We start from the raw sequence: 24,759 nt of genomic DNA on the forward strand, positions 1-24,759 counted from the left end.
AAGACAGGGGTTCACCATGTTGGCCAGGCTGGTCTCGAACTCCTGACCTCGTGATCTGCCCATCTCGGCCTCCCAAAGTGCTGGGATTACAGGCGTGAGCCACCATGCCCAGCTGATAGCTACTAGAATTCTAAGTGGAGGTATGAAGTAGGCAGTTTTGGGGAGAGAGGCTGGGTCTGGAGATGTACGTGTGGGAGCTGTTAGCAGAGAAATGGTATTTAAAGTCTGGGTGGGGTGACTTAGGAATGGACACAGAGCTGACTGAGCAGTCACACCCCGTTTCCCCACGAAGACCTCAGCCCAAGGCAACCACTAATCTATTTTCTGTCTTAATGTTGGACACTCCAACATTAAGGGATGCGTAAGAAGAAGTGGAGGGGGAACCAGCAAAGGAGATGGAGAAGTCATGAGCAGTAAGATAGGATGATTACCAAGGAGTATATGTCCTGGGAACCAAGTGAAAACAGTACAGCAAGTTGGGAGGGGGTGATTGCACCAGATGTTGCTGCCACTGGGTCAGATAATTAGGAAACCAAGAATCGACTATTGAAAGCTGGATGCAATGGTGCTTGTCTATAATTCCAGCCACTCAGGAGACTGAGATGCAAGGATGGCATGAGCCCAGGAGTTCGAGGCTGCAGAGAACAATGATCGCTCCTGTGAATAGCTGCTGCATTCCAGTCTGGGCAACATAGCCAGACCAGACCCTGTCTCTTAAAAAAACAAAAATTGGGCTATTGGATTTAGCCACGTGGGGGTCATGGGTGACCTTGACAAGAGCAGATTTGGTAGAAGCATGGAATGGATTTTTCCTAATATTCCTCCTCTTCAGGGGCAGACAATATTTAAATGAAACCGTATTTGGAGCACTCATCAGGCTTTAATATTGATGCTGCATCTTCTACTGTCACATACATAAAGGGGACCAGGACCACTGCATTACAGATGTGACTATTTCTACCTTATATATGTATGCCCTATATGTGTATATACTTTATGTGTCTATATCAGCTTTATTGAGATATAATTTACATCTCATACAGTTCACCTATTTAAAGTATACAGTTCAATGAATTTAATGGTTTTTAGTCTATTCAGTGTTATGCAACCATCACCATGATTAATTTTATTTCTATCACTGTTTCTTCAGCCCCAAAAGAAACCCTGTTCCCATTAGCAGTCACTCCTCCTTTTCCCCCAAAACCCTCAGTCCTAGGCAACCACTAGTCTACTTTCTGTCTTTCTATATTTGCCGATTCTGGACTCTTCATATACATGGAATCATACGATACGTGGTCTTTTGTGACTGGCTTCTTTCACTTAGTATAATGTTTTCAAGCTTCATCCAAGCTGTAGCATGTGGCAGTACTTCATTCCTTTTTAGGGCCAAATAATATTCCACTGTATGTACTAATATATACCACATTTTATTTATTCATTGATTAGTTGTTGGAAATTTAGGTTGTTTCTACTTTTTAGCTATTATGAATAATGCTGCTATGAACATTTCTGTACACATTGTTGTATGGGTATATTTCTTCTGGGGTTATACTTAGGAATGGAATTAGAATGCAGTAGCATGATCTCAGCTCACTGCAACCTCCACCTCCCGGGTTCAAGTTGTTCTTGTGCCTCAGCCCCCCAAGTAGCTGGGATCACAGGCACTGTGCCTCCACGCCTGGCTAATTTTTTGTATTTTTAGTAGAGATAGAGTTTCATTATGTTGGCCATGCTGGTCTCGAACTCCTACCCTCAGGTGATCTGCCCGCCTCGGCCTCCCATGGTGCTGGGATTACAGGCGTGAGCCACCACCCCTGGCCACAGACTGGCTTCCTTCCTTCCCTCCGTCCGTCCTTCCTTCCTTCCTTCCTTCCTTCCTTCCTTCCTTCCTTCCTTCCTTCCTTTCCTCCCTTTCTTTTTCTTTTTCTATTTCTCTTTCTCTCTCTCTTTCTTCCCTCCTCTCCCCTCCCCTCCTGTCCTCTTCTCTCTTTCTGACAGAGTTTCACTCTTGTCACCCAGGCTGGAGTGCAATGGCGCAATCTCGGCTCACTGCAGCCTCCACCTCATTTGTTCTCATGTCTTAGCCACTCGAGTAGCTGGGATTACAGGCACCTGCCACCAGGCCTGGCTAATTGTTTTTTTAGTAGAGACAGGATTTCGCCATGTTGGCCAGGCTGGTCTCAAACTCCTGACCTCAAGTCACCTCAGCCTCCCAAAGTGCTGGGATTACAGGCATGAGCCACCACACCCAGCCTTCTTCATTCTTTTTTTTTTTGAGGTGGAGTTTTGCTCTTGTTGCCCAGGCTGGAGTGCAATGGCACAATCTCGACTTACTGCAACCTGCACCTCCCAGGTTCAAGCGATTCTCCTGCCTCAGCCTCCCGAGTAGCTGGCATTACAGGCATGCCCCACCACTGGGTGAAAAATGCCCAGCTAATTTTGTATTTTTAGTAGAGATGGGGTTTCTCCATGTTGGTCAGGCTGGTCTCGAACTCTCGACCTCAGGTGATCTGCCCACCTCAGCCTCCCAGAGTGCTGGGATTACAGGCATGAGCCACTGCGCTCGGCCCATCATTCTTAATAATATTCCCAAATGGTGTATAGATAAATACTGCCACAATTTCAGGACTAGAGGTTAAAAAAAAAAAAAGGACAAAGTTGGACAGTAGAGCTGAGAGCACAAATTGTCCCCTTTTTTTCCCAGGTCCTTAGGTTCGTAGACCTGTGTCAGCCATAATTACTGCTGAATGTGACTCCTGTGTATACGGTCATTTTTATTTTTTCTGTTCCTGGAGGTAATGCAATAAGTCACCTCAAAAAGGGCAGAGAATGAGGGAGAGAATCTACCTGCATTGGCGTATTGAAAAGATCAGATTATTTCAGAATCCAGATCATTGTTTACTTTTAGCTGCATAAAAATATCCAAGTAGATTTTCTTATAACCTCTCCAAGATAAAGATGCCAGAAACGGCAGCCAAATACATTGACTTTGAGAGAGGAAAAAAAAAAAGCTTGTAATTGCCGATCACTCCTTAGATTTACTTCTGGGGAGCATCAATTAAAAATCTCAAAACACGTGGCTTTTTCAGTAAAATTATATTAATATGGAGGAAGAGTTTTTATTAAATATGAGTGCACGTGTGTCTGTGTCTGTGTGTGTTTTAAACGTTTCCATAATGAGTTCCCAAGTGCTTTTTTGGCAGTAGTTATTAAAGCTTGTGTGTTTGCGATTTATCTGGCAAAATGCCTTTAGTGAAGAAAGGATATAGTGTTCTCTTGGTTCTTTGCCCAAAGTAATTTTGGAGAAATCTGTGACTGTATTTAGTTCATGTCATTCATTGGAGACAAGTCATTGTAATTACATTTGATCACAATCAGTTTACAGTTGTTTTATCATGTTTTCATGCTGAATATCTACTCAGACATCATAGCAAAATTTAATGGCTACTGTTTTATTTGTACATAAAAAGATTTATAGCCCTTTTTTGCAGTACACATCGGGTTTCAATCATCACTGCTACAGAGTGAGAGGAAAGCTATGGATAAAGAACTATCAGAAATCCTTGACTACATAAAATTTTATTTCAGGTCACCTTGCCATAAAAGATATTGAATGTATTTTGTGGCTTTTCCTCCTGACATGCTAACCGTTGTAGAAGAGTTGCAATATTTGGAGGAAACCGTATGAAATGTGGAACTTAATTCACTTAAGATGGTTTACATTTGCGCGTGTTTTCCACTGGAAATAGCCATGCCAGCCTTATGAATGGCCCCTGGGTAATGCAGAGTAAAAGGCAATGGCATTACCGATATTGTTGAGTTTTAAAAGGAAGTTGTCTTCTTAACCATACGGCTGAACATTTTGTCATTGTTGTTTCAGAAGGTCTGCTCTAACATCTGCACTGCGGCAGAGTTGTGTTACAGGGTGTTATTTACAGCTGCCAAATGCTGGAGGCTCTCATGTATCAGACAGTCTCTGATTTGCTAATTGTGGAAGCCTTGATTCACCAGTGAATTTGGGTAAATTCACTAGTTATCTCCTAAGTGTCACTTCTCACCATGCCTTATTTTTCCCAAAAGGTTGATTCCAAGCTCTGCTGAAATCTGCTCTTGGTCTATATGTTTGAGTCTACATTGTTGAAGAAGCTCCCTTTAGAAAAGTGTAATTAATGGGAAACTTTGACATCCAGCTGAGAAAATTAGTTTGCATCAAAAAAGGCAAGATAGAGGATTAAAGAAATTTTAGTCCTAATCTAATTAACACCAATTAAAAGATGCAGATGAATTTACACCAACAAATTGTTAATTATGCACCAATTTGCCTTTTTTCTGCAACCAAACTGAAATCAGGAAAGTATTATTATCTTTTTTGTTTGAGGAGACTTACATTGTGGGTTTGTTACAATCATCTTTTATATAATTAAAAGGTAGGCAGAAAGAGCGTGAAATATTTCAGTCTCCTGACATTTTAATTTAGGTTAACTCTTTAAAAATACAAAGTACAGAAAAAAAAAATTCCAGAAAGTACAGGATAATTCTATTAGCATTTATTCACTGACTAGATATTTATTGAGGACCTAGTATGTGCTGGACACTTAGGTAACCATTGTTTCTCTCACTCAAAATATTTTAACTTGTTTGTATTTCTAATATATTGCTCATTAGAAAAATTGTATACGCCAGGCGTGGAGGCTCATGTCTGTAATCCCAGCATTTTGGGAGGCCGAGGCGGGCAGATCACGAGGTCAGGAGATTGAGATCATCCTGGCTAACACGGTGAAACCCTGTCTCTACTAAAAATACAAAAAATTAGCCGGGTGTGGTGGCGGGCGCCTGTGGTCCCAGCTACTTGGGAGGCTGAGGCAGGAGAATGGCGTGAACCCGGGAGGTGGAGGTTGCAGTAAGCCAAGATTGCGCCACAGCACTCCAGCCTGGGCGACAGAGCGAGACTCCGACTCAAAAAAAAAAAAAAAGAAAAGAAAAAGAAAAATAGTATAAGCTAATTGTACCAAAATTGTATAAGCTAATTAAATTCTGCCCTGGATACATGTCAGAAAAGGAGAATCGAAATTTTGGGCCTCAAGAAATGCTCTTAATGTCCCAGAACTCCTCTTTAATGTGACCTTTTAGGGTATTCAGCGTCCATCTTCCTCACCCGGGGAATCTGTGTTTGTTTCCCAGTGTTACTCAGATCTCCACTGTGCTGGGACTTTCTTTTTCCTTGTGAATCACTCTTACAGCTCCTCAGATGGTGATCTGAGTAATTATGTAGAGGGTGGTGAAGCACAGACCTTTTAGATCTGCAAATGACACATCTGTCCAAATGTCATGTAATGAGTAACCACAATCCACTTTATATAAGCCATATTTCTTCTCTTTCCAAAATGGGAAGGAGAGGGTGGGGGGGGAAATGTCTGGTAGAAATGGGAAGAAAAGCATTTCTATGGATTCCTCTAGCCATTAATTACATAGAAAATGCCACAGCTGCCCTCAGATTTCCAGGTGCACGTTATTAAACGTCATTCAAAGGAAATGTTTGGCCAACTAGATCCTGATGTGAGAAACAGCATCCTAAAGAGCTATGTATGTTACTGTCTAATGCATGTACTTAGGCATTAAATAATATTAAATGACCATATTACCTTCTTGGGGCAATAGTTAATATAAACATTTAGGATGCTCAGTTTGTACTTTTCAGTATTTGTGCTGGAAACTTTTGCATTCACAACTTTGAAAACTGGCTCGTGTTTTCATGGGAAGTGTCAGTTTAAAGTTGGCCTACTAATTAATGGGGGAATTTCAATATGGCAGTGCCTATGACAGCAAATGAAAAGCATTCTTTATAAACATCGTCTTCCTCCACACATTCACAGGTTAGTATCTGACACCCATTTTTAATTTCTAGAGCACCATTTGTACTTCTCTGTGGTTTTGCCTGCAAGTCTTCGATGATGCAGTCCACCCTTCCATAAAAACGTACTCCAATTTTCCTAGATTCTACTTTCATTGTTTTGTGAATCAAGTTAGAAGGTACATAACTTAGCCTGATGAGATGGCATTCATAAGGTTAGGATAGCAGAGTTGCCTAACTAATCTTCCTGTTGCAATGAAATAAAAGAATGATATCTAAGTTGACCAACCTTGTAAAAGGTAATTTTACAAGAGGCCTCCAAAAATAACGGACTAGGACTGGCCAGAGAAGAAAATAAACCCCTCATCCTCAATCCAGAACCCAGAGTTTGTCATCACTAGTCGAAAAGCTTGTTTGTTTTATACCTAAGTGAGACCTTGAGTTATCCAATGTGCTTCCATCACAGAATGGCCCACCAGGGTAGAAGGATTCTGAGTGTATTCCCTGATGCTGTTGCCATGTGCCTATGGAATACCTATGCTCCATATTTAGCCCTCTTTCTGTGTAGTAGCAGAGACGTGGATGGCTGCTGAAACTAAGGGCCCAGTCTTTGGCCTTAGGACAGACCACTGGGTTTCTCCCACTGCCTAAAACCTTAGTAGCATTAGCATCAGACATGGACCCAATAAACAAACTACCTAGTTGATAAGCGCCGCATTTTTCATGATGTTTTACTGTGGCCTATCCACACACTCTTTCCTATTCCATGAAAGGAAGAAAAAGATAATTTGAGTTGTCCTATAAATTAAAATTTTTCCTTTGTGATTATTTTGGACCAGCGCCATAACATTCAGAAGATTATGAGTGGAGTCTTTAGTCTGTGAACAAAGTCCTAAGAAGGAAGTAGTGCTGTAACTTACTTCATCTAAAGAAGCATCATCGCTGAATGTAAAGAGTGATTCTGGATTGGATCTTAAGCCGGAAAAATAAATGGAGATAAAGTACGTTATTGGGATAATTTGTGATATTTAAATAAGGCCTGTAGAATAGATACTAGTATCGTACCCATGTTACATTTTCTGATTTGGATAATTGCAATAAAGTTGTGTAGGAGAGTGTCCTTGGTTTGGGGAACCATTTAAGAGTATAGGGGCACAATGAATATAACTTACAGATGGTTCACGGAAAAAATACAGGTGCATACTATATAAAAATAAATTTATATCTGCATATATTATGCATATCTACCTATCTATATCTGTATTTATACATATGGAGAGAGAGAGACCAAGAGAGACAGAGAGAGCAGTAATGATAAAGAAATGTGGCAGAATGTTAGTGCTAACAGTTGGTAAGACTGGGTAAGGAGAATTCAGGAATTATTTAGCTATCCTTGCATTTTTATTTTTATTTTTTTTGAGACAGAGTCTCCCACTGTCACCCAGGCTAGAGTTCAGTGGCACGGTCTCGGCTCATTGCAACCTCCACCTTCCGGGTTCAAGCGATTCTCCTGCCTCAGCCTCCTGAGTAGCTGGGGTTACAGGCATGTGCCACGACGCCTGGTTACTTTTTGTATTTTTAGCAGAGACGGGGTTTCACCAGTTGGCCAGGCTGGTCTCAAATTCCTGACCTCAAGTGATCCACCTGTCTCGGCCCCCCACAGTGCCAGGATTACAGGTGTGAGCCACCACTCCCTGCCTCCTTGCATCTTTTCTGTTAGTTTCAGATTACAGTCATGTGTCACTTAACAATGAGAATACGTCTTGAGAAATGCATCCTTAGGCAATTTCATCGTTGTGCTACCATCACAGAATGTATTTCCACAAACCTAGATGTTACAACCTACCGCACACCTAGGCTGTGTGGTATGGCTTATTGCCCCTCTGACATAAACCTACACAACATGTAGCTACTGAATACTGTAGGCAATTGTAACACAGTGGTAAGGATTTCTTTTCTTTTCTTTTTTTTTTTGGAGACAGAGTCTCGCTCTGTCGCCCAGGCTGGAATGCAGTGGCGCAGTCTCGGCTCACTGCGTCCTCCACCTCCTGGGTTCAAGTGATTCTCCTGCCTCAGCCTCCTGAGTAGCTGGGACTACATGCGCCTGCCACCATGCCTGACTAATGTTTGTATTTTTAGTAGAGATGGGGTTCCAACATATTGGCCAGGCTGGTTTCGAACTCCAGACCTTGTGGTCTGCCCACCTTGGCCTCCCAAAGTGCTGGGATAACAGGAGTGAGCCACCGCGCCCAGCCAGGGGTAAGGATTTCTATATCTAAACATATATGAACAGAAAAAGGGTACAGTAAAAATACTGCATAAAAGATTTAAAATGGAACACTCACAGAAGGCTCTTACCATGAATGGAGCTTGCAGGACCTCATGTTGTTCTGGGTGAGTCAGTGAGTGAGCAGTGAGTGAATATGAAGGCCTAGGACATTACTGTCACTACTGTAGACTTTGTAAACACTATATACTTAGACTATACTACATTTATTAAAAAAAACAAAAAACTTTTCTTCAGTAGTAAATTAACCTTAGCTTACTATAACATTTTTTTTTTCTTTTGAAACGGAGTCTCATTCTGTCACCCAGGCTGGAGTACAGTGGCGTGATCTTGGCTCACTGCAATCTCAGCCTCCCGAGTTCAAGTGATTCTTCTGTCTCAGCCTCCTGAGTAGCTGGCACTACAGGCACCTGTCACCACGCCCGGCTAATTTTTGTATTTTCAGTAGAGACGGGGGTTTCGCCATGTTGGCCAGGCTGGTCTCGAACTCCTGACCTCAGGTGATTCACCCACCTCGCCCTCCCAAAGTGCTGGGATTACAGGTGTGAGTCACCACACCTGGCCCAACTTTTTACTTTATAAACTTTATATATATATATATGTTTTGTTTTGTTTTGTTTGTTTTTGAGATGGAGTCTTGCTCTGTCACCCAGGCTGGAGTGCAGTGGCACAATCTCAGCTCACTGCAACCTCTGCCTCCCACGTTCAAGCAATTCTCCTGCCTCAGCCTCCCAAGTGGCTGGGCTTGCAGGTGCCCCCCCCTACACCAGGCTAATTTTTGTGTTTTTAGTAGAGACATGGTTTCACCATTTTGGCCAGGCTGGTCTCGAACTCCTGACCTTGTGATCCGCTCACCTCAGCCTCCCAAAGTGCTAGGATTACAGGTTTGAGCCATCACGCCTAGCCTGTAAACTTTGTTTATATTTTTAACTTTATGACTCTTTTATAGTAACAGTAAGTTTAAAACACACATTGTACAAAAATATTTCCTTTATCTCTTATTCTATATGCTTTTTTATATTTTTAATTTTTATTTTTTATACTTTTTGAACTTTTTGTTAAAAGCAAAAACACAAACACATACATTAGCCTAGGCCTACACAGGGTCAGGATCATCAATATTACTGTCTTCCACCTCTACAGCTTGTCCCAGTGGAAGGTCTTTAGGGGCAATAACACGCACAGAGCTGTTGTCTCCTGTGATAACAATGCCTTCTTCTGGAATGCCTCCTCAAGGACCCACATGAGTCTATTTTACAGTTAACTTTTTTTTTTTTTAATAAGGAGGCGTATAGTCTAAAATGAAGATAAAATGTAAAGCATAATATAAAACCAGTAACATTTATTATTATCAAGTATTATGTACTGTGCATGGTTGTATTGCTATATATATATAAAATTTTTTTTTTTTTTGAGACAGAGTCTCACTCTGTCACCCAGGCTGGAGAGCAGTGGCACAATCTCGGCTCACTGCAAGCTCCACCTCCCAGGTTCATGCCATTCTCCTGCCTCAGCCTCCTGAGTAGCTGGGATTACAGGCGCATGCCACCATGCCTGGCTAATTTTTTTTTTTTTTTTTTGTATTTTTAATAGAGACGACGTTTCACCATGTTGACCAGGCTGGTCTTGAACTCCTGACCTTATGATCTGCCCACCTCGGCCTCCCAAAGTGCTATGATTACAGATGTGAGCCACCGGGCCTGGCATGTTTGATTTTTTTTTTTTTTTTTTTTGAGACAGATTCTCTTTCTGTTGCCTAGGCTGGAGGGCAGTGGCGCGATCTGCAACCTCTGTCTCTCAGGTTTGAGCAATTCTCGTGCCTCAGCCTCCCAAATAGCTGGGATTACAGGTGCGTGCCACCACACCCAGTTTATTTTTGTATTTTTAGCCACCGGGCCCGGCCCAGTATAATCTTATGGGAGCACTGTGGTATATTTGGTCTGTTGTTGACCTGAAAGTTATGTGGCGCATGACTGTATCTAAAAACAAACAAACAAAAAATTTAAATAGAAAAGCTGGATTCCGACCACATGAATGAACCTTCTTATGATTCTGGAAGGAAGGCAGGTTCTACTAAGACAGGGTTCTTAGGCTACTACCACTACCTCACCCATAAAGGATCAGCCTTCTTAACCCAGCCAGTCACAAGGGATTCTGAGGATGAATGTTCACCAGGGCAGATTGGTTATGTTCAACAGCTTCATGTATTTCTGCAAAATCTACCAGTCCGATGATGCAGTGAACATAATGATCCCCTGTGAAATAATAACAAGATAAAATGTTCCCAGGCCCATTTGTTTCCCACTGCTACCACCCCATAAGACTGAACCATGGGTTGGAGTGAACACTTGAACCAAAGGTTACTGTATTGTATGTTCCTGTTCACACAGGACTTCACAAAAACCTTCTTTTATAAAGAAAACAACCAGCCAATAAAACAGCATTAGAGTACATTATATATGTGACCAATTGTTTGATAAAATCTGATGTAAGCCTTCAGGCGTAATTGGAGTTCTTAGCAAAATACTTTGGTTTTTAATATTTCTATGACCCTCTAAGGGGGACTTAGCAATTACTCTTAAATTTTCAAAGTGGTGCATGGAGTTTTAGCTGTGTGACTTCCATTAAAGTCCATAGGAGTCTTGTTGCTAAAACATCACACAACTCACGAAAATGTGCCCCTTCTTGTGAAATTGTTAGAAGTAATGGGTATGGAAGTATAGCACAGCATTTCTGGTACATTTACAAGCTTTCTGTACTTGTTTCAAACTTTATACCTTTATGAAAACTCAATAGTTCTACAAAAATTGAAGGGGGGAAAAAGCCTATTATGTGTATTCCAGAAGTGAAGGGTAGAAAAAATACAGTAGAACTAATAAAAAATTAAAATAATTCTTCAAGAAAAGCCAATGTTTCAACATATTTATAATCTTTATTTCAAAATTAATATATCCTCTCCTGGGTTTTTAAAGTAAGCCTTAAAATCGAACTTAAAAAAATGAACTTGACTGACAAAGTTTCACTATAACCACATACAATGATTTTGGGTTTCAGCAACCTCCTCTACTGAAACCGATATAATTTAAGCATCATCGGAGCAAAACTTCACTCCTTTAGATGGTTGGTGGTGTGAGGGGTTTGTTCCCAGTGGATAAGAGGATGGCCTTAAGGTTTGCTGAGTCCTTCTCTCTCAAGAACCTCTTAGAGGCCGGGCACGGTGGCTCAAGCCTGTAATCCCAGCACTTTGGGAGGCCAAGGTGGGTGGATCACTTGAGGTCAGGAGTTCGAGACCAGCCTGGCCAACATGGTGAAACCCCGCCTCTACTAAAAATACAAAAATTAGCTGGGTTTGGTGGTGTGTGCCTGTAATCTCAGCTACTCGGGTGGCTGAGGAACGAGAATCGCTTGAACCCGGGAGGTGGAGGTTGCAGTGAGCGGAGATTGCGCCATTGCACTCCAGCCTGGGCGACAGAACAAGACCCTGTTTCAAAAAAAAGAAAAAGAATCTCATAGACATTTTTCTCCTGCGTCCCTGTGATAAGAGTGCTGTGATTCCTGCTATACAGTCAAACAGATTCAGAGCCCACCTTTGACTCCAGGACCAAATTTCCCCCTTTATTCTCTTTTGTGCTATGCTGGAGAAGACAGTGTGGCAGTTCCCGGGAATTTGTGTGGAGCTGTTTCAGGGACACTCTGAGCTAAGAAAAGGGTGAGAGCCCTGGGAGGAGACCTTCTTTCAATCCAGGCTACATGCTCTGAGTTTTTCCAGGGCATATATAGCTGCTCCATTTGGACTATGCTCCTAGACTGACATGGGCCTGACTCGCAGGAGCCGGCAGCTCCTAGTGCTGAGCTCACCGGCTCGGCCCAGCACCAGCACCACCTCCCCTCTGAGCATCTGGTGGCCTTGCTGATAACACAGTGACACAGCCATTTCCTTCTATAGCAGAAACATCTTTGGAGTTCTGTTTCCACAGTCCTTTGAGAGACACTCTCGAGGCCAGGAGCTGGCCTCAGACATAAAAGTATTTGTTTCAACAGAGAGAGAGAGAGAGAGAGAGAGACTCAGTGACTGCTTTTTGAGTGAATTGTTGTTGGCTCAGTTTCAGTAATGCAATGTTTTGCTTTAGATTAATTTACTAAGCAGTACTAAAGTATCATTTATATACATTATTGAATCTTGGGATGATTCTGTAAGCATTACTTTCTCCTGAAATCTCCACTTCTGTCTGGATAGTGGATTTTAGGATAGGTTTTTAAAATGGAAAACTTGACGCAGATTCAAATTTTCAACACAGCATTGAACGAATAGCATCAGTTGGGGACGAGCTATGCCACCAATTTAAAGTGTCTCAGCCGGGGTCAGAATTAGGAACTGTCTAAACAGGGAATTTCAGAAGGGCAGGGGAGGATATCAAGGCACAAATGGGAGGAAATAAGCCATTGTTCCTTTAGAAAGCTTAGTAACCTCGATAATGAGAGGCTATGAAATAGTTCTTTTTATAACTGTAACTTCTTAACTTCCCAGCCCTAATAGCTCCAAGGGTCACTTGCAGAGAGCTCCGGGGCTACACCTGCCTTGCATAGATTAGGGCCCGCTGCAGCTGTCTTCATTTGCAAGACTAAGGTGTAGCTCCAAGAGGCTGTAGGTCTCAGCATGGAGCACTCCTCCTCAATCTCAATAGGCTGGTGTTGCGGATTAAGATGGCCATTGCAAGCCAGGCTCAGAAATTGCAAGATGAGGCAGGTAACGATTTCCTGGGTTTTATGTATCAGGCCTTATGAGGTATGAAGCGGGAAACCTTTTATATGCCTGCCTTGAATTAGCCATACCTTTTACAATCAGCTCTGTTGAAGAGCAGCTGCCTGGACTATCTAGCATACCCATGGGCCAGGCATGCCTTTGGCACACACACAGGTTTGTAAAGAGCTTGTGAATCTATAGGATGATCTCTTGGTGAGGACAGAAGGGACCCATAGCTAGTCAGCATCGGACTGAGGGCTGGATCCACTTTTTCCTGTAATGTGCGTTTGTTTCACAGAAAATACAATTAGGATAATTCTTGTGTGTTCTCTACAGGAAGGAAGTAGTATACTGCTTGTGAATGGTAGGCTAAATGAGGGAACCATTAAAGGGTTTTTAATAGACTTTTGAACCAAAAGACATAAGGGACTATACTTACATTGCCTTAACTGAGAAATGTTTTGCAGTGTGAGAAGACTTAATCAAATCTTCATTACATACCTGGTCAGGGACCAGGCTGAATGTTTCTTTAAGCAATTGGATAAAATGCACATTGAAGACTTGTTAGTTATGTGAGAATATGTCTGACATGCTTATCATCTCTCCTGCGGGTGCCTGAGTATCAGATACTTGGTTTACTGTGTTGGGTTGAATGCTTCTGTTCTAATTTCTAATGAACTTTACCACCAGACTACTTGATCATGACTAAGCCCAGGAACAATGCAAATGGAATTGCCCCCTGATGGGGAGGAATGGGCCCAGATGGCCCTTAAAAGGTGATAATTAGGAAATATAGCATATCTGAGTAGCTAGAAAGAGAGAAACTTGTTAAAGACAGTCAATCTGTTTGAAGCAACGGTCTTTCCCTTAATTATATGCATTTTCATTTAGAGTTGCTTTAAAGTAAAATTTTTCCCAGGAAAAATTTTTATTAGTAGTGAAAACCTAGAAACCACACACATTTTTTGCTACTCTGTTTCAGATTATTGAAAATTCCTTCCTTCATACATTTTTTTTTGGTTTCCAGATCTGTGTAACAGACTCGCTGTGTGTGTTTTAGGGGCCGTTTTAGGTTATTTTAGCTCTTATGCTAAAACAGTGGGGGAGCGATTAAAAGTGAGAAAAATATTAGTATATATTTGTAAACTGAGCTTTTAAAATTAAAATAGTTGCAGGATATTACAGTCTGTGATTTCATATACTTTGTAAGATTGCCTTAAATGTATTGCCTTCTTGGCAGCATAATGCCAGATTTTTCTCCAATATGTCATTAAAATAATTTTACATATAACAAGTTGAACTTTTTAAAGACTTATATTTTAATCTGAATTAGCATATTTACTAATTATATTACTTATTTGGCTTTTCTTTAGTCCGATTCTTTTTTTTTTTTTAGTGTACAAACTTGGCATTACTCTTTAAGAATAACAAGTGAACTGGAAATGAGAGGGTGGTGACATGAAGAGAGAGAGAAGAAATACATTCCTTATATCTCTTCCAGCTCCTGCATGGAATGGAGGATCTGACAGTGGCCGTTCCTGGGTATTAAAGCCAGTGCAAAAGATAGAGCGTCCAAAAGGCAACTTCTTCCTTATTTGTGAAGTCAGAAAGTAAAATTTACATTGAAGTGCTAAGCTACATTATTCTGAATATTTTGGCAGTCATATTTGGGCAGATGAGTTGCTTTCCTGAAATTACTCAGCACCGTCATTCATCCTGACAAAAGCTAGTGGTACAGATGCACCTTTGGGACTGAGGCCAAGGTGAAACCTGCGTTTTCCAGGTCTGCCCACTCAGTTTTGGAAGGACTCTCAATAAAACCGGCCTCACACCCCAAGCATCACCCCTCCTGTCCTTAGTAAGTACACTCTGGCTGGAATCTAGGGTCCCAGCATCTAGCCCTTGGGACTTCACATAAATTCATCAAGTATCTTCCTCCACTCAAAAATCTCTTACAGAATCTTTGACATTTTAAGCTTCATTACTGCAAAGTGGATATAGTTCATTCTCAGCTTCAGGATTCCAGAAGCATACATACCAGGTCAGAATGGAGAGGCATCACGCTTTCCTTCAGCAAGCTTCAGGGGAGACAGGATTTAGGGTGGGCTACACATATACCAGTTGTAGGATGTTTTGAACTATATTCTTGCAATCACAGACAGGTTGTCCCAGAGAAAATAATCTGGCTCTAACTTCTCTTGTTATCAGTGAAAAGCAAAAATTACTTAGTGCAGGTATGCTTAAAGGAAGAAAAAGGCAAGAGAAAAGTGAGAGGTAAAAATTATTACCATTTTAATTCCATGATTCTCAGCAATGAAGGAGCATGATTGAAATCCCATGTGCCCAGTCATATCTGTAAATGAGAGTATGATTTTTGAAGACTGTATTCAATTGTTTCAACTTGAGCAATTGCAAGTAAGACTTAGGACTGTGTTTACCAGTTACTGTTATTTACTATTACTTTCTAAATGTGACCTGACTTGAAACCTTTATAGATGCAATTTTTATCCATCACAGAACAAGCTCTAAAGAGGAGAGCAGCTTCAACTTTTTCAAGTATTTTTTTTAAAAGGATTTAACTTTGACCAACACCAAACTTGCATCTTGTTAAGGTAACTAATAACTGACTGCTATAACAATATTTAGAATTTTGTTTAACAGCAACTGTCAAAAAAACAAGTTAAAATAGCCCAGGAGATGGATGGCGATTAACTCTGCGTTCTTTTTAGACTGTGTTATTAATTAGCTCTCTAGACTCAAATAGGTTACATCCTCTGAGCAGTAAATTGCATGCCATTTGCAAGCTCTGTGGATGAAATTTACATGTGGCCTAAATGCTATCCACATTGTTTTGTTAAGTAGCATTTTATCTCTCTGGACTGGTCCCTTGCCTCCTCCCCCAGCCCCAGTGGAAAGTTTTATTCACTTTTCTTGCGGGAAGGGAAAGTCGCATGTAGTTTGGTCATTTGGCGCCATCTTCTTTTTTATTGTTAAATCCACTAAAGGCAGTCATGCCTGGCAGTACCAGGCGGGCTCCTTCCGGGGTTCTGGTCGGCTAAGCATTCAGAGTTCTTTGCTTTTTATTTACTAGAAATGTTTTCAGCTTCTGTCTTTGCTTTAAGATCTGATTAAAAGGAACCTTAAAAAAGGAACATAGATTTTGGTGTATGTTTTTCCTCTCTACTTCTCTTCCCTGTGCCCCCCAAACCCAATCACCAACTTCCCCCATCCCCAGCAAACACGGGCTTTTTTGTGTATTTATTTAAAAGCATTTTAGGAAGCACCGTAATACCGCACAGCTTGGAGGTTAAGATAGAATTGGATGTTTCCCTCACCATCAGTTGATGGAATCATCAGTGTTCCGGTTCTATTTATCTTCATGATTTGAGAATGTTTCTGAACAGCTGCCCTTCCGAGGATGCTGGTATTTAGACAGACCTTCCTGTCATTTATCTGACTCACAGGCACAACTCTTTTGAAAGAATTAATATCAAACTTACATATGAAAATCTACCATTTAGAAATGGATTCTTTTTCAGTACCTACTTTTCAATTCAACCGGGGAGATCCCATCTATTTTAAAAAATCATTAATCACATACTTCTGACATTTTCCCTTTCAGTTTCCTCAGGGGGAAAAAAGTTATTTGAATAACAAACAAACAAACAAAAACCCCTCATCGCAAATAGCTGTCAGCCTCCTATGTGAACAAAAGCGCTCTCTCACACTGAGACCTACCGTGTTTTGTTTAGTTAGAGGCAGCAGGGTGGTAGGGACACTATGCAGAAAGGCTTGGGTTAATGAGCACTTTCTGGATTGAGTGTCTCTCCTGATTAACCCTTGGATTACTTGCTTTGAGTTGCTAACCCTCTCTCACTGCCCACTCAAGAATTTCCCACATGGTAGCCTCATCCATAGATGCCCTTCCCTAGATGCACTGATGGTAGACAGCATAAAAATGTGTAAGCACTGTAGCTTTCCAATGAACTGAAACAAAAAGCTTAAGCATTACTTTTTATTTCCTTGATCTAAAGAACATGTTTTGGGGGATATTTTCTTAATCAATATCTAAGTTATCTAGAGTTATAAATACTATAAATAAATTAGTTACAAACTAATTTTTAGACACAAGTCTTTTGTTCAAACCAACTCTTACATAGAAACTCTAAAAATTTGGGGGGGAAGGGGACAGTTGGGGATCAGAATCACTCCCCATTATCTCTCTGTTGGTGCTCCCCAAAGGATCTTCAGGGAACGACGTTTAAAAACCATTTTGTATCATGAAATGGGACCCGAAAGACATTCTTTCTAGTGACTTTGTGTTAGATTGAGTCATATGAAATTGCCACTGTGTGACCCATTTTGACCTAAAAAAAAAACCAAAAAACAAAAAACAAAAAACCAGCACTAGGGTACCAGAGTATTTTTAGTGTAATCACTGTACGTGATAAGAAAATGGAGAAATGAGAAAGCTTGAAACTTAGACTATAAGCTCCTCATAAGCTAATAGCGACTTCCTCCCTTCTTCCGCAGTCACCTGGCAAGTCCCTTCTATGTGCTGCTGGTTCTAGGGATACAGAGATAAAAGGCGTAGTCACTGCCTCCAAATCATCACAGTGCAAAGGACAAATAAATACAGAAGGACCCATGGGATGAAGAAACAGCCCAGGGTGGTGGGAACACAGAGCGAGAGTTTCTAGGATCTTGAAAGCCATGTTGCACGGAGCTCCCGGTCCCTGAGTTTTCAGACTGATCTTTCTGTGGACTGTGCCTAAGTAATAACAGTTTCAGAACGTAGAAACTCAGTGTACATCCTTCATAGCCAGGATGGATATGATAGCCTGGAAGTGAACAGTAAATCCAGTGATTTGTTTTCTTCACTCATTCTTTCATTTTAAGAAAGTGCTTAGAATCCACAAGTTGTGCTTAATGCCAGCAGACGCATTACATATGCCAGCCCTGCCCCTTAGTCACAATTACTCCCCACACTGACCTCCCATTGCATTTAAAAATTGTCGCTTTATTGAGACATAGTTCAGCTCTCATAAAGTTCACATTTGTTTTTTTTGTTTTTTTTTTTTTGTTTGTTTTTTTGAGACAGTCTTGCTCAGTCACCCAGGCTGGAGTGCAGTGGCATGATCTCGGCTCACTGCAAGCTCCGCCTCCCGGGTTCACGCCATTCCCCGGCCTCAGCCTCCCTAGTAGCTGAGACTACAGGCACCCGCCATCACGCCCGGTTAATTTTTTTGAACTTTTAGTAGAGACGGGGTTTCACCATGTTAGCCAGGATGGTCTTGATCTCCTGACCTTATGATCCACCCGCCTCACCCTCCCAAAGTGCTGGGATTACAGGTGTGAGCTACCGCCTCCAGCCATAAAGTTCACATTTTTAAAGGACACACGTCAGTGGTTTTCAGTCTCTTCACAAAGTTGTGTAATGATCATCACTATCTAATTCTAGAACATTTTCCTTACCCTAAAAGAAACCCCATACCCATTGGGGTTCACTCCCTATGCACCCCTCTTCCTTTCTCCTGACAACCACTAATCTACTTTCTAAATCTATAGATTTGTCTGTTCGGGACATTTCCTATAAATGGGACTATATAAATATGCCCTTTTATCTCTGGCTTCCTTCACTCTGCATAATGTTTTCAAGGTTTGTCCATGTTGTAGCATGCATTAGTACTTCATTCCTTTTTCTGGCCCAGTAATGTTCAATTGTAGGAATATACCCCATTATCCATTCCAATGATGGATATTTTTTGGGGGATATCCACTTTATGGCCATTATAATTTCACTATGAACATTTGTGTACAAGTTTTTGGTTGGACATACGTTTTCATTTTTGTTGGGTATATAGCTAGGAGTGGAATTGCTGGGTCTTATGGTAACTATGTTTAACATTTTGAGGAACTGGGATGTATAGCGTTTTGTGCCTGTGTTATGAAACTAATTATGAAGCATCTTATATTCATTATCATTAGATCTGTCTCCTCCATTAGGTTTTAAGTTTCTTGAGACAGGGATTATCCTTCTTCATCTTTGTATCCCCCACAGTCCAGCACTCACCAAGGCACAAAGTAGGTTCTTAGGAAACTGGTCAGAATAAAACTGACCAATGCAACATCCTCCTTCCCTTAAAATCACCAGCATACCTGGGAACACAGGCTTTCTCTTTCTCTCTTCCCTGTAGCAAGTGACAGCTTATCAGGAATGGAGGCAGCTCGGTATTATCCATCAAGCCTTCCAGCTGGGTGCACACCCTCCTTATCTGCTGTGGGACCTTCACCAGCATCCTGGGATTTCCTCAGGCTGCCTCATCCCCACAACGGCAGTGATGTGACCCACTCTGGTTTATGCAGATACGTTAAGAGAGATTATTTTAAGTACCACTGAAACCCAAGCAGAGGCAAGGCTGGTGGAAACCCCAGTATTTGGGGGCACACTCCCTGTTTGACATGGTTCAGGAATGACTCATACATCTACTTTAAGGGGGATTTGGACAAGGAGGCACTAAGATACCTATCCAGGCTTTGACTTGGGAGCATTGTGCAGGAGGTTTAAGAAAGATTATTTTAAGACTATCTCAGAAGGCTGGAGCAGCATCTTTCTGATTTCTTCTGCTACCTTTCACTCGGAGCCTGTGATTTCTAACATGTATTTCAGGTTGGATTTAAGAGAGAGCTGGCCCCTACTGAATTGGCCACCTTTGATGTTACAGTACTGAGGAGGGGAGGGACAGATGGAACAAAAGTCGTAATTGCCCAAATTTACAATAGGTTCCCAGCAGCAGCTCGCACAAAAGAAATGTTAATGCAATAAACTGTAAATGGAAGGAAGCTAAGCAGGATTTATGGCTGGCGCAAACCTCCATCAAGGCACTGGAACCTCTTTCCTTCATCTGTGAGGCATTTCAGTGGTCACAGTAGAATTGGGCTCATTTGAAAATCAGTGGCTGCTCTGTGTCTTCCCTCCCTTGTGTGTCCTGCACCCCCTACACAAACCAATTCCTGTAAAAACCTGGGGAATCTGATAGAACAATTGGAGAAAAACATCAGTCATTGAGGGTCAAGACTGCAAACCCGGCAGAGCCAAGAGTGCACACACATTTGCTGTGCACATGTATGTGTTACAGCTGCAACCAAAGCGTGCGTTTTCCTTCCCCAAGTCTGTGTTGGGGACTTCCGCAGACACAGCAGATGGCCAGAGTGTTTCCACGTTTCAGCCTCGAAGTGAGAGGGCAGCATGTCATTCACCAGCCTGGCACTTACCCATCCATCAGGGCCACCTCTATAAATGGCTGTTTTTCACATTTGGTTCCAGCAGGTTCCATCTCCATTCCGGCTCACACATACCTTTACCTGTGTTGTATCATGTGGGGTGCTCCTTGTCTCCTTGTCCAGATTGCTGGCCCGCTTGCTTCATTAATTAACCGAGGAGCACGTCTAAATGGAAAATTGCTTTCTGAGATCTGTGTGTCCTGGCTCCATGCTGTGAGGGGCTCCCTGTAATTAAACACGTTTTAAGAGTTGCTGTCTTGCGCATGTGCCCTGGACATCGGTGCTTTCCCCACTGGCTGGGTAGTTCTGTTTCAGACCTTAGACCTAAATGATAATAACAGTTACAAGGAAACTTGCATATCAGTTGATTAAGTGTGGGGAATTTTTTTCCTTTTGAAAGTTGGGGGAAAGAACTCCTCAGTGGGGAAGTGATTTTTCTGCCCTGTAGGGATGGGAAAATGGTTAATCATCATGGGGGCCTCAACAGACCTCAGCATGTTCGCGAAGTCCTTGGCCTCAGGTTCCTCATCCATCCCACCGCGAGAGCGATACGGCTTGGGTAAGCCGCGAATCCCCTCACTGGGCTCCAATTATTCCAGAATTCTAACTTTAAAAATAAAATATTCATATTTAAAAGTTCCTGCTACCGTTTCAAAGAAGCTTCCCAAGAAGCTCTTCAGAGCTGGGGCATGGAGGAACCTGTCACTGGGTCCCTTTCTGCTGGGGGATCAGTTCCTTTTATAAGTAGGAAAAGATTTCTCCATACCCCTTGCAAAGTTCATGGCTGACACCCCTATAACAAAAGACAGGTTAACAAGAGCAAAGCACACAAATATATTTAATACAAGTTTTATGTGACACAGGAGGCTTCTGAAATGAAGCCTCAAAGACCCAGGGAAAACCGCGTTTTTATGGACAGTCAAGCAGAAATATGATGAGAGAACAAAAGGGTTTGATGTAGCGTAATAAACTTAGCAAGCCCGTTCAGATTCTTCTTGGTGTTCCTGTGTGACATTTTTTTTTTCCTTTTTGTTTTGAGACGGAGTCTCCCTCTGTCGCCCAGGCTGGAGTGCAGTGGCGTGATCTTGGCTCACTGCAACCTCCGCCTCCCGAGTTCAAGAGATTCTCCTGCCTCAGCCTCCCAAGTAGCTGGGATTGCAGGTACGCACCACCACACCTGGCTAATTTTTGTATTTTTAGTAGAGAGAGATTTCACCATGTTGGCCAGGCTGGTCTCGAACTCCTGACCTTAGATGATCCCCTGCCTTGGCCTCCCAAAGTGCTGGGATTACAGGAATGAGCCACCGTCCCCAGTGTGACATTTCTTTTCTCTGGGTACAGGGCAGGACACCTGTCACATGAGGGTCTTCAGGGGAGGAGGGAGAAGGTCAGAGGGTGACCTTCCTACTTCTGCAGTTTTCTCGATTTCTTTCAGTTTACAGTACTCAGTAGGACAAGGTGCATATTTGGGGATATCGTGTTCTGAGCCCCAACAGTAACAAAGAACAAAGAAAGCCTTTAGGCAGTTTTTGCTGAGACTCTCAAATAGGAATTTAGAGTGATGGTCCTTGAGTCAGAGAGGCCACTAGAGAAAGTTTGACTTTCCATGTAGAATAGCAAGCTCTCCTCTGGCAAGTCTTTTCCAGACAAGGCTCTATAATTTTTTGCTAATAAATGTGTGGACAAAGTTATGGGATGTATAGAAGTCTGACACCAAAACCATGTCAGAGACTTTTTTTTTTTTTTTAAACCGAGTCTTACTCTGTTGCCTAGGCTGGAGTGCAGTGGCATGGTCATGGCTCACTGCAGCCTCAACCTTCTAGGCCCAAGAGTTCCTCCCACCTCAGCCTCCTGAATAGCTGGGACCATAGGTATATGCCACCACACCCAGCTAATTTTTAGTTTTTTTATAGAGACAGGGTCTCCCTGTGTTGCCCAGGCTGGTCTCAAACTCCTGGGCTCCAGCAATCCTTCCAAAGTGCAGGGTTATAGACATAAGCCACTGCACGTGTCCTGTAACAAAGATTGTTAGTAAAAGTTATTGAAATTTAAATCTATGATTCAAGTCCTGATACATAAGACACATGGCACATGGTAAAAATTGATTTGATTACATCCTAGGAGGCCTAGACTTGGGAAAGAAGGAAAAAAAAAAGTATGAGGCTGGGCATGGTAGCTTGTGCCTATAATCTCAGCACTTTGGGAGGCTAAGGCAGGGGGATTGCTTGAGGCCAGGAGTTCAAGACCAGCCTGGGCAACATAGCAAGACCCCATCTCTACCAAAACAAAACAAAACAAAACAACCACAAAAAAAACCCACACAAATTAAATTTAAAAAGAAAAAGATGAAAAGAAAGATGAGAAGATAAGGAAATATCTGTAGACAGTTTAAGTCTCTATTTTTTTCTACAAATGTACAGTTATGTATTGTAACATACTGCATCTTTTGACCCTGTCTTCTCTGTTTCAACAGAGCTTATCTTTTTCTATGTATTTCTGCTGCTACTGCTTTTCCAAACCACAGCCATTGTCCTGTAATGCCCTTATGCATTTGGCCAAGCCCTCTTAGCTTCTTTATTATTGTGGGGTCTTAGTTGATATTTGGGGTGTATGACATTACAAAACACATGGGATGTAGATGTGGATTGGGAGAGCCCCTGAATTGTAGCACTCTGCTTTCCTCATCTGTAAAATGGGTATAATCAAAGTCTTGGAAGGGTAATTGTAAAGGGGTGTGCAGACAGTGGGGTTACTGTTATTTGCAAGGATCCGCCCATAGTTTTATCTGCAAATGTCACTAGCTTTTGATTTACTCACTCTCGCTTGCGTCTTCTTTCGTGCTGATGTTGGCTCTGCTTTATCCCACAGGCTTTTTATTATTATTATTACTTTTGAGACAAGGTCGCTGTCTGTCACCCAGGCTGGAGTGCAGTGGTGCAATCTTGGCTCACTGCAACCTCTGCCTCCCAGGTTCAAGTGATTCTCCCCACTCAGTAGCTGGGATTACAGGCACGTGCCACCACACCCAGCTAATTTTTGTATTTTTTTGGTAGAGATGGGGTTTCACCATGTTGGCCAGGCTGAGTGATCCTCCCGCCTTGGCTTCCCAAAGTGCTGGGATTACAGGCATGAGCCCCTGCACCCAGCCTTTCTTTCTTTCTTTTTTTTTTTTTTTGAGACAGGGTCTCACTGTGTTGTGCAGTGGCTCGATCTTGGCTCACTGCAACCTCCGCCTCCTGGGTTCAAGCAGATCTCATGTCTCAGCCTCTCGAGCAGCTGGGAGTACAGGCACCCGCCACCACACCCAGCTAATTTTTATATTTTTTGGTAGAGATGGGGTTTCACCATGTTGGCCAGGCTGGTCTCGAACTCCTGACCTCAAGTGATTCATTTGTCTCAGTCTCCCAAAGTGCTGGGATTTCAGGCGTGAGCCACCCCACCGGGCCTCCCAACAGGCTTTTAAAGCACCAGGGCAGCAGGGCACTGGGCCAACAGGTATATTTGGGAATGTGCATTTGGTTTCATGTGTAATAGGAAAGAGATTAATTAAGGTTGTTAGTGTGGCCTAATACTAAATTTCAGGAAGCCTCACAGGACACATGAAACAAATCTTTACAACACATATGTGTTTTCATGCTGCTGAACATTTTGAAGACGTTTTGCCATGCTGGAGTTTGTTTGTTTTGTTTGTGTTTTTGTTTGAGGTGCCGTCTTATTCTGTCTCTCAGGCTGGAGTGCAGAGTTCAGTGGCACAATCTTGGCTCACTGCAACCTCCACCTCCCAGGTTCAAGCTATTCTTCTGCCTCAGCCTCCCGAGTAGTGCCTGGCTGCTGTTTTTTTTTTTTAATTGTTAAATTAGATGGGCTCAGTATTACCGTGCCTTGATGGAGTTTCTAGTTGAGGGATCAGTGTCATTTCTGGGTCCCCATCAGAATTACGTTCAAGCTATAAGTAGTTATGCAAAGTCGTAGGTTAAATGATTTGGGAATAAAATGTCATTTGACGTGACAGAAATGAACCCTTGGAGGCCCACATTTCCACTGGGACTTGCTCTCAGTTCCAGTTCTCATGTTAAGTAATTTTATTAACTGAGGCAAGGAGGGGCATGCGGTGACAAGGGAAATATTTTTTGCTAACATTTTAATCCTAATCACAAAATTTATTGTGTGTGGCTTTATATGCATTTGTAGCTATAAAGCCCTGGAAGATGATGAAAGTAAAAATTAGAATGTGTGGTTTTTCTGCCCAGGTGTTATTTAAAGCATTGTATGAATTGTCAAAAAGATTAATTGTTGTTGCTTGCAGCTAAACAGATGATAAATTTTAAAATTATATTATTACTGTGTGTCAGCATAAAAGCTCTGTGTCCCAAGTGTGTCACCTTTTTCTGTTGCTGTTGACAAGGTTCACATTTTATAGCACACCGCCAGAAGGTGTTGACATATATTCAGATTACTGATTAAATGTTTTTAAAACGTGCCACTCAGAAACTAACACTGATGTTCTATGAAAGAGTCATTTTTCGGAGTAAGATTTTTTTTTTCCCTTCATCATTAACATGGAGGAAATGTTAAACACTGACATTTTAAAAA

The 24,759-nt window shown here is 42.0% G+C and overlaps 1 protein-coding gene and 2 long non-coding RNA genes across 13 annotated transcripts in view, besides 4 other annotated features; 2 read left to right on the forward strand and 1 right to left on the reverse strand.

Annotated features, from left to right (window-relative positions):
* The window catches only part of CLYBL (citramalyl-CoA lyase), a 302,755-nt gene that overhangs the window by 67,646 nt on the left and 210,350 nt on the right, over positions 1 to 24,759 (forward strand). The gene's annotated exons all lie outside the window — the stretch shown is intronic.
* On the forward strand, positions 83 to 16,034 carry LOC124903199 (uncharacterized). Of its 2 annotated transcripts, none has more exons than XR_007063848.1 (2): positions 83 to 6,852; positions 14,279 to 16,034. It is a non-coding gene; the product is annotated as an uncharacterized LOC124903199 (long non-coding RNA). The 2 variants fall into 2 exon arrangements; XR_007063847.1 differs by lacking the exon at positions 83 to 6,852 and adding an exon at positions 11,578 to 12,885.
* Positions 11,735 to 12,492: an enhancer, noted in NCBI's record as "NANOG-H3K27ac-H3K4me1 hESC enhancer chr13:100338324-100339081 (GRCh37/hg19 assembly coordinates)". NCBI's record gives its function as "activates a minimal SCP1, AML or CMV promoter by ChIP-STARR-seq in naive H9 embryonic stem cells {active_cell/tissue: H9 hESC(naive)}" and the evidence as "EXISTENCE:reporter gene assay evidence [ECO:0000049][PMID:30033119]".
* Positions 12,493 to 13,251: an enhancer, noted in NCBI's record as "OCT4-NANOG-H3K27ac-H3K4me1 hESC enhancer chr13:100339082-100339840 (GRCh37/hg19 assembly coordinates)". NCBI's record gives its function as "activates a minimal SCP1, AML or CMV promoter by ChIP-STARR-seq in naive H9 embryonic stem cells {active_cell/tissue: H9 hESC(naive)}" and the evidence as "EXISTENCE:reporter gene assay evidence [ECO:0000049][PMID:30033119]".
* Positions 15,763 to 16,636, reverse strand: CLYBL-AS2 (CLYBL antisense RNA 2). Its single transcript, NR_046526.1, has 2 exons — positions 16,218 to 16,636; positions 15,763 to 16,021 (listed from the first exon to the last, which is right to left on the reverse strand). It is a non-coding gene; the product is annotated as a CLYBL antisense RNA 2 (long non-coding RNA).
* Positions 16,480 to 16,774: a silencer, noted in NCBI's record as "tiled region #256; HepG2 Repressive non-DNase unmatched - State 23:Low". NCBI's record gives its function as "represses a minimal TATA promoter and a strong SV40 promoter by Sharpr-MPRA in HepG2 cells {active_cell/tissue: HepG2}" and the evidence as "EXISTENCE:reporter gene assay evidence [ECO:0000049][PMID:27701403]".
* Positions 17,815 to 18,572: an enhancer, noted in NCBI's record as "H3K27ac-H3K4me1 hESC enhancer chr13:100344404-100345161 (GRCh37/hg19 assembly coordinates)". NCBI's record gives its function as "activates a minimal SCP1, AML or CMV promoter by ChIP-STARR-seq in primed H9 embryonic stem cells {active_cell/tissue: H9 hESC(primed)}" and the evidence as "EXISTENCE:reporter gene assay evidence [ECO:0000049][PMID:30033119]".

Source organism: Homo sapiens, chromosome 13, assembly GCF_000001405.40.
Source record: "Homo sapiens chromosome 13, GRCh38.p14 Primary Assembly".
Taxonomy (NCBI): Eukaryota; Metazoa; Chordata; class Mammalia; order Primates; family Hominidae; genus Homo; species Homo sapiens.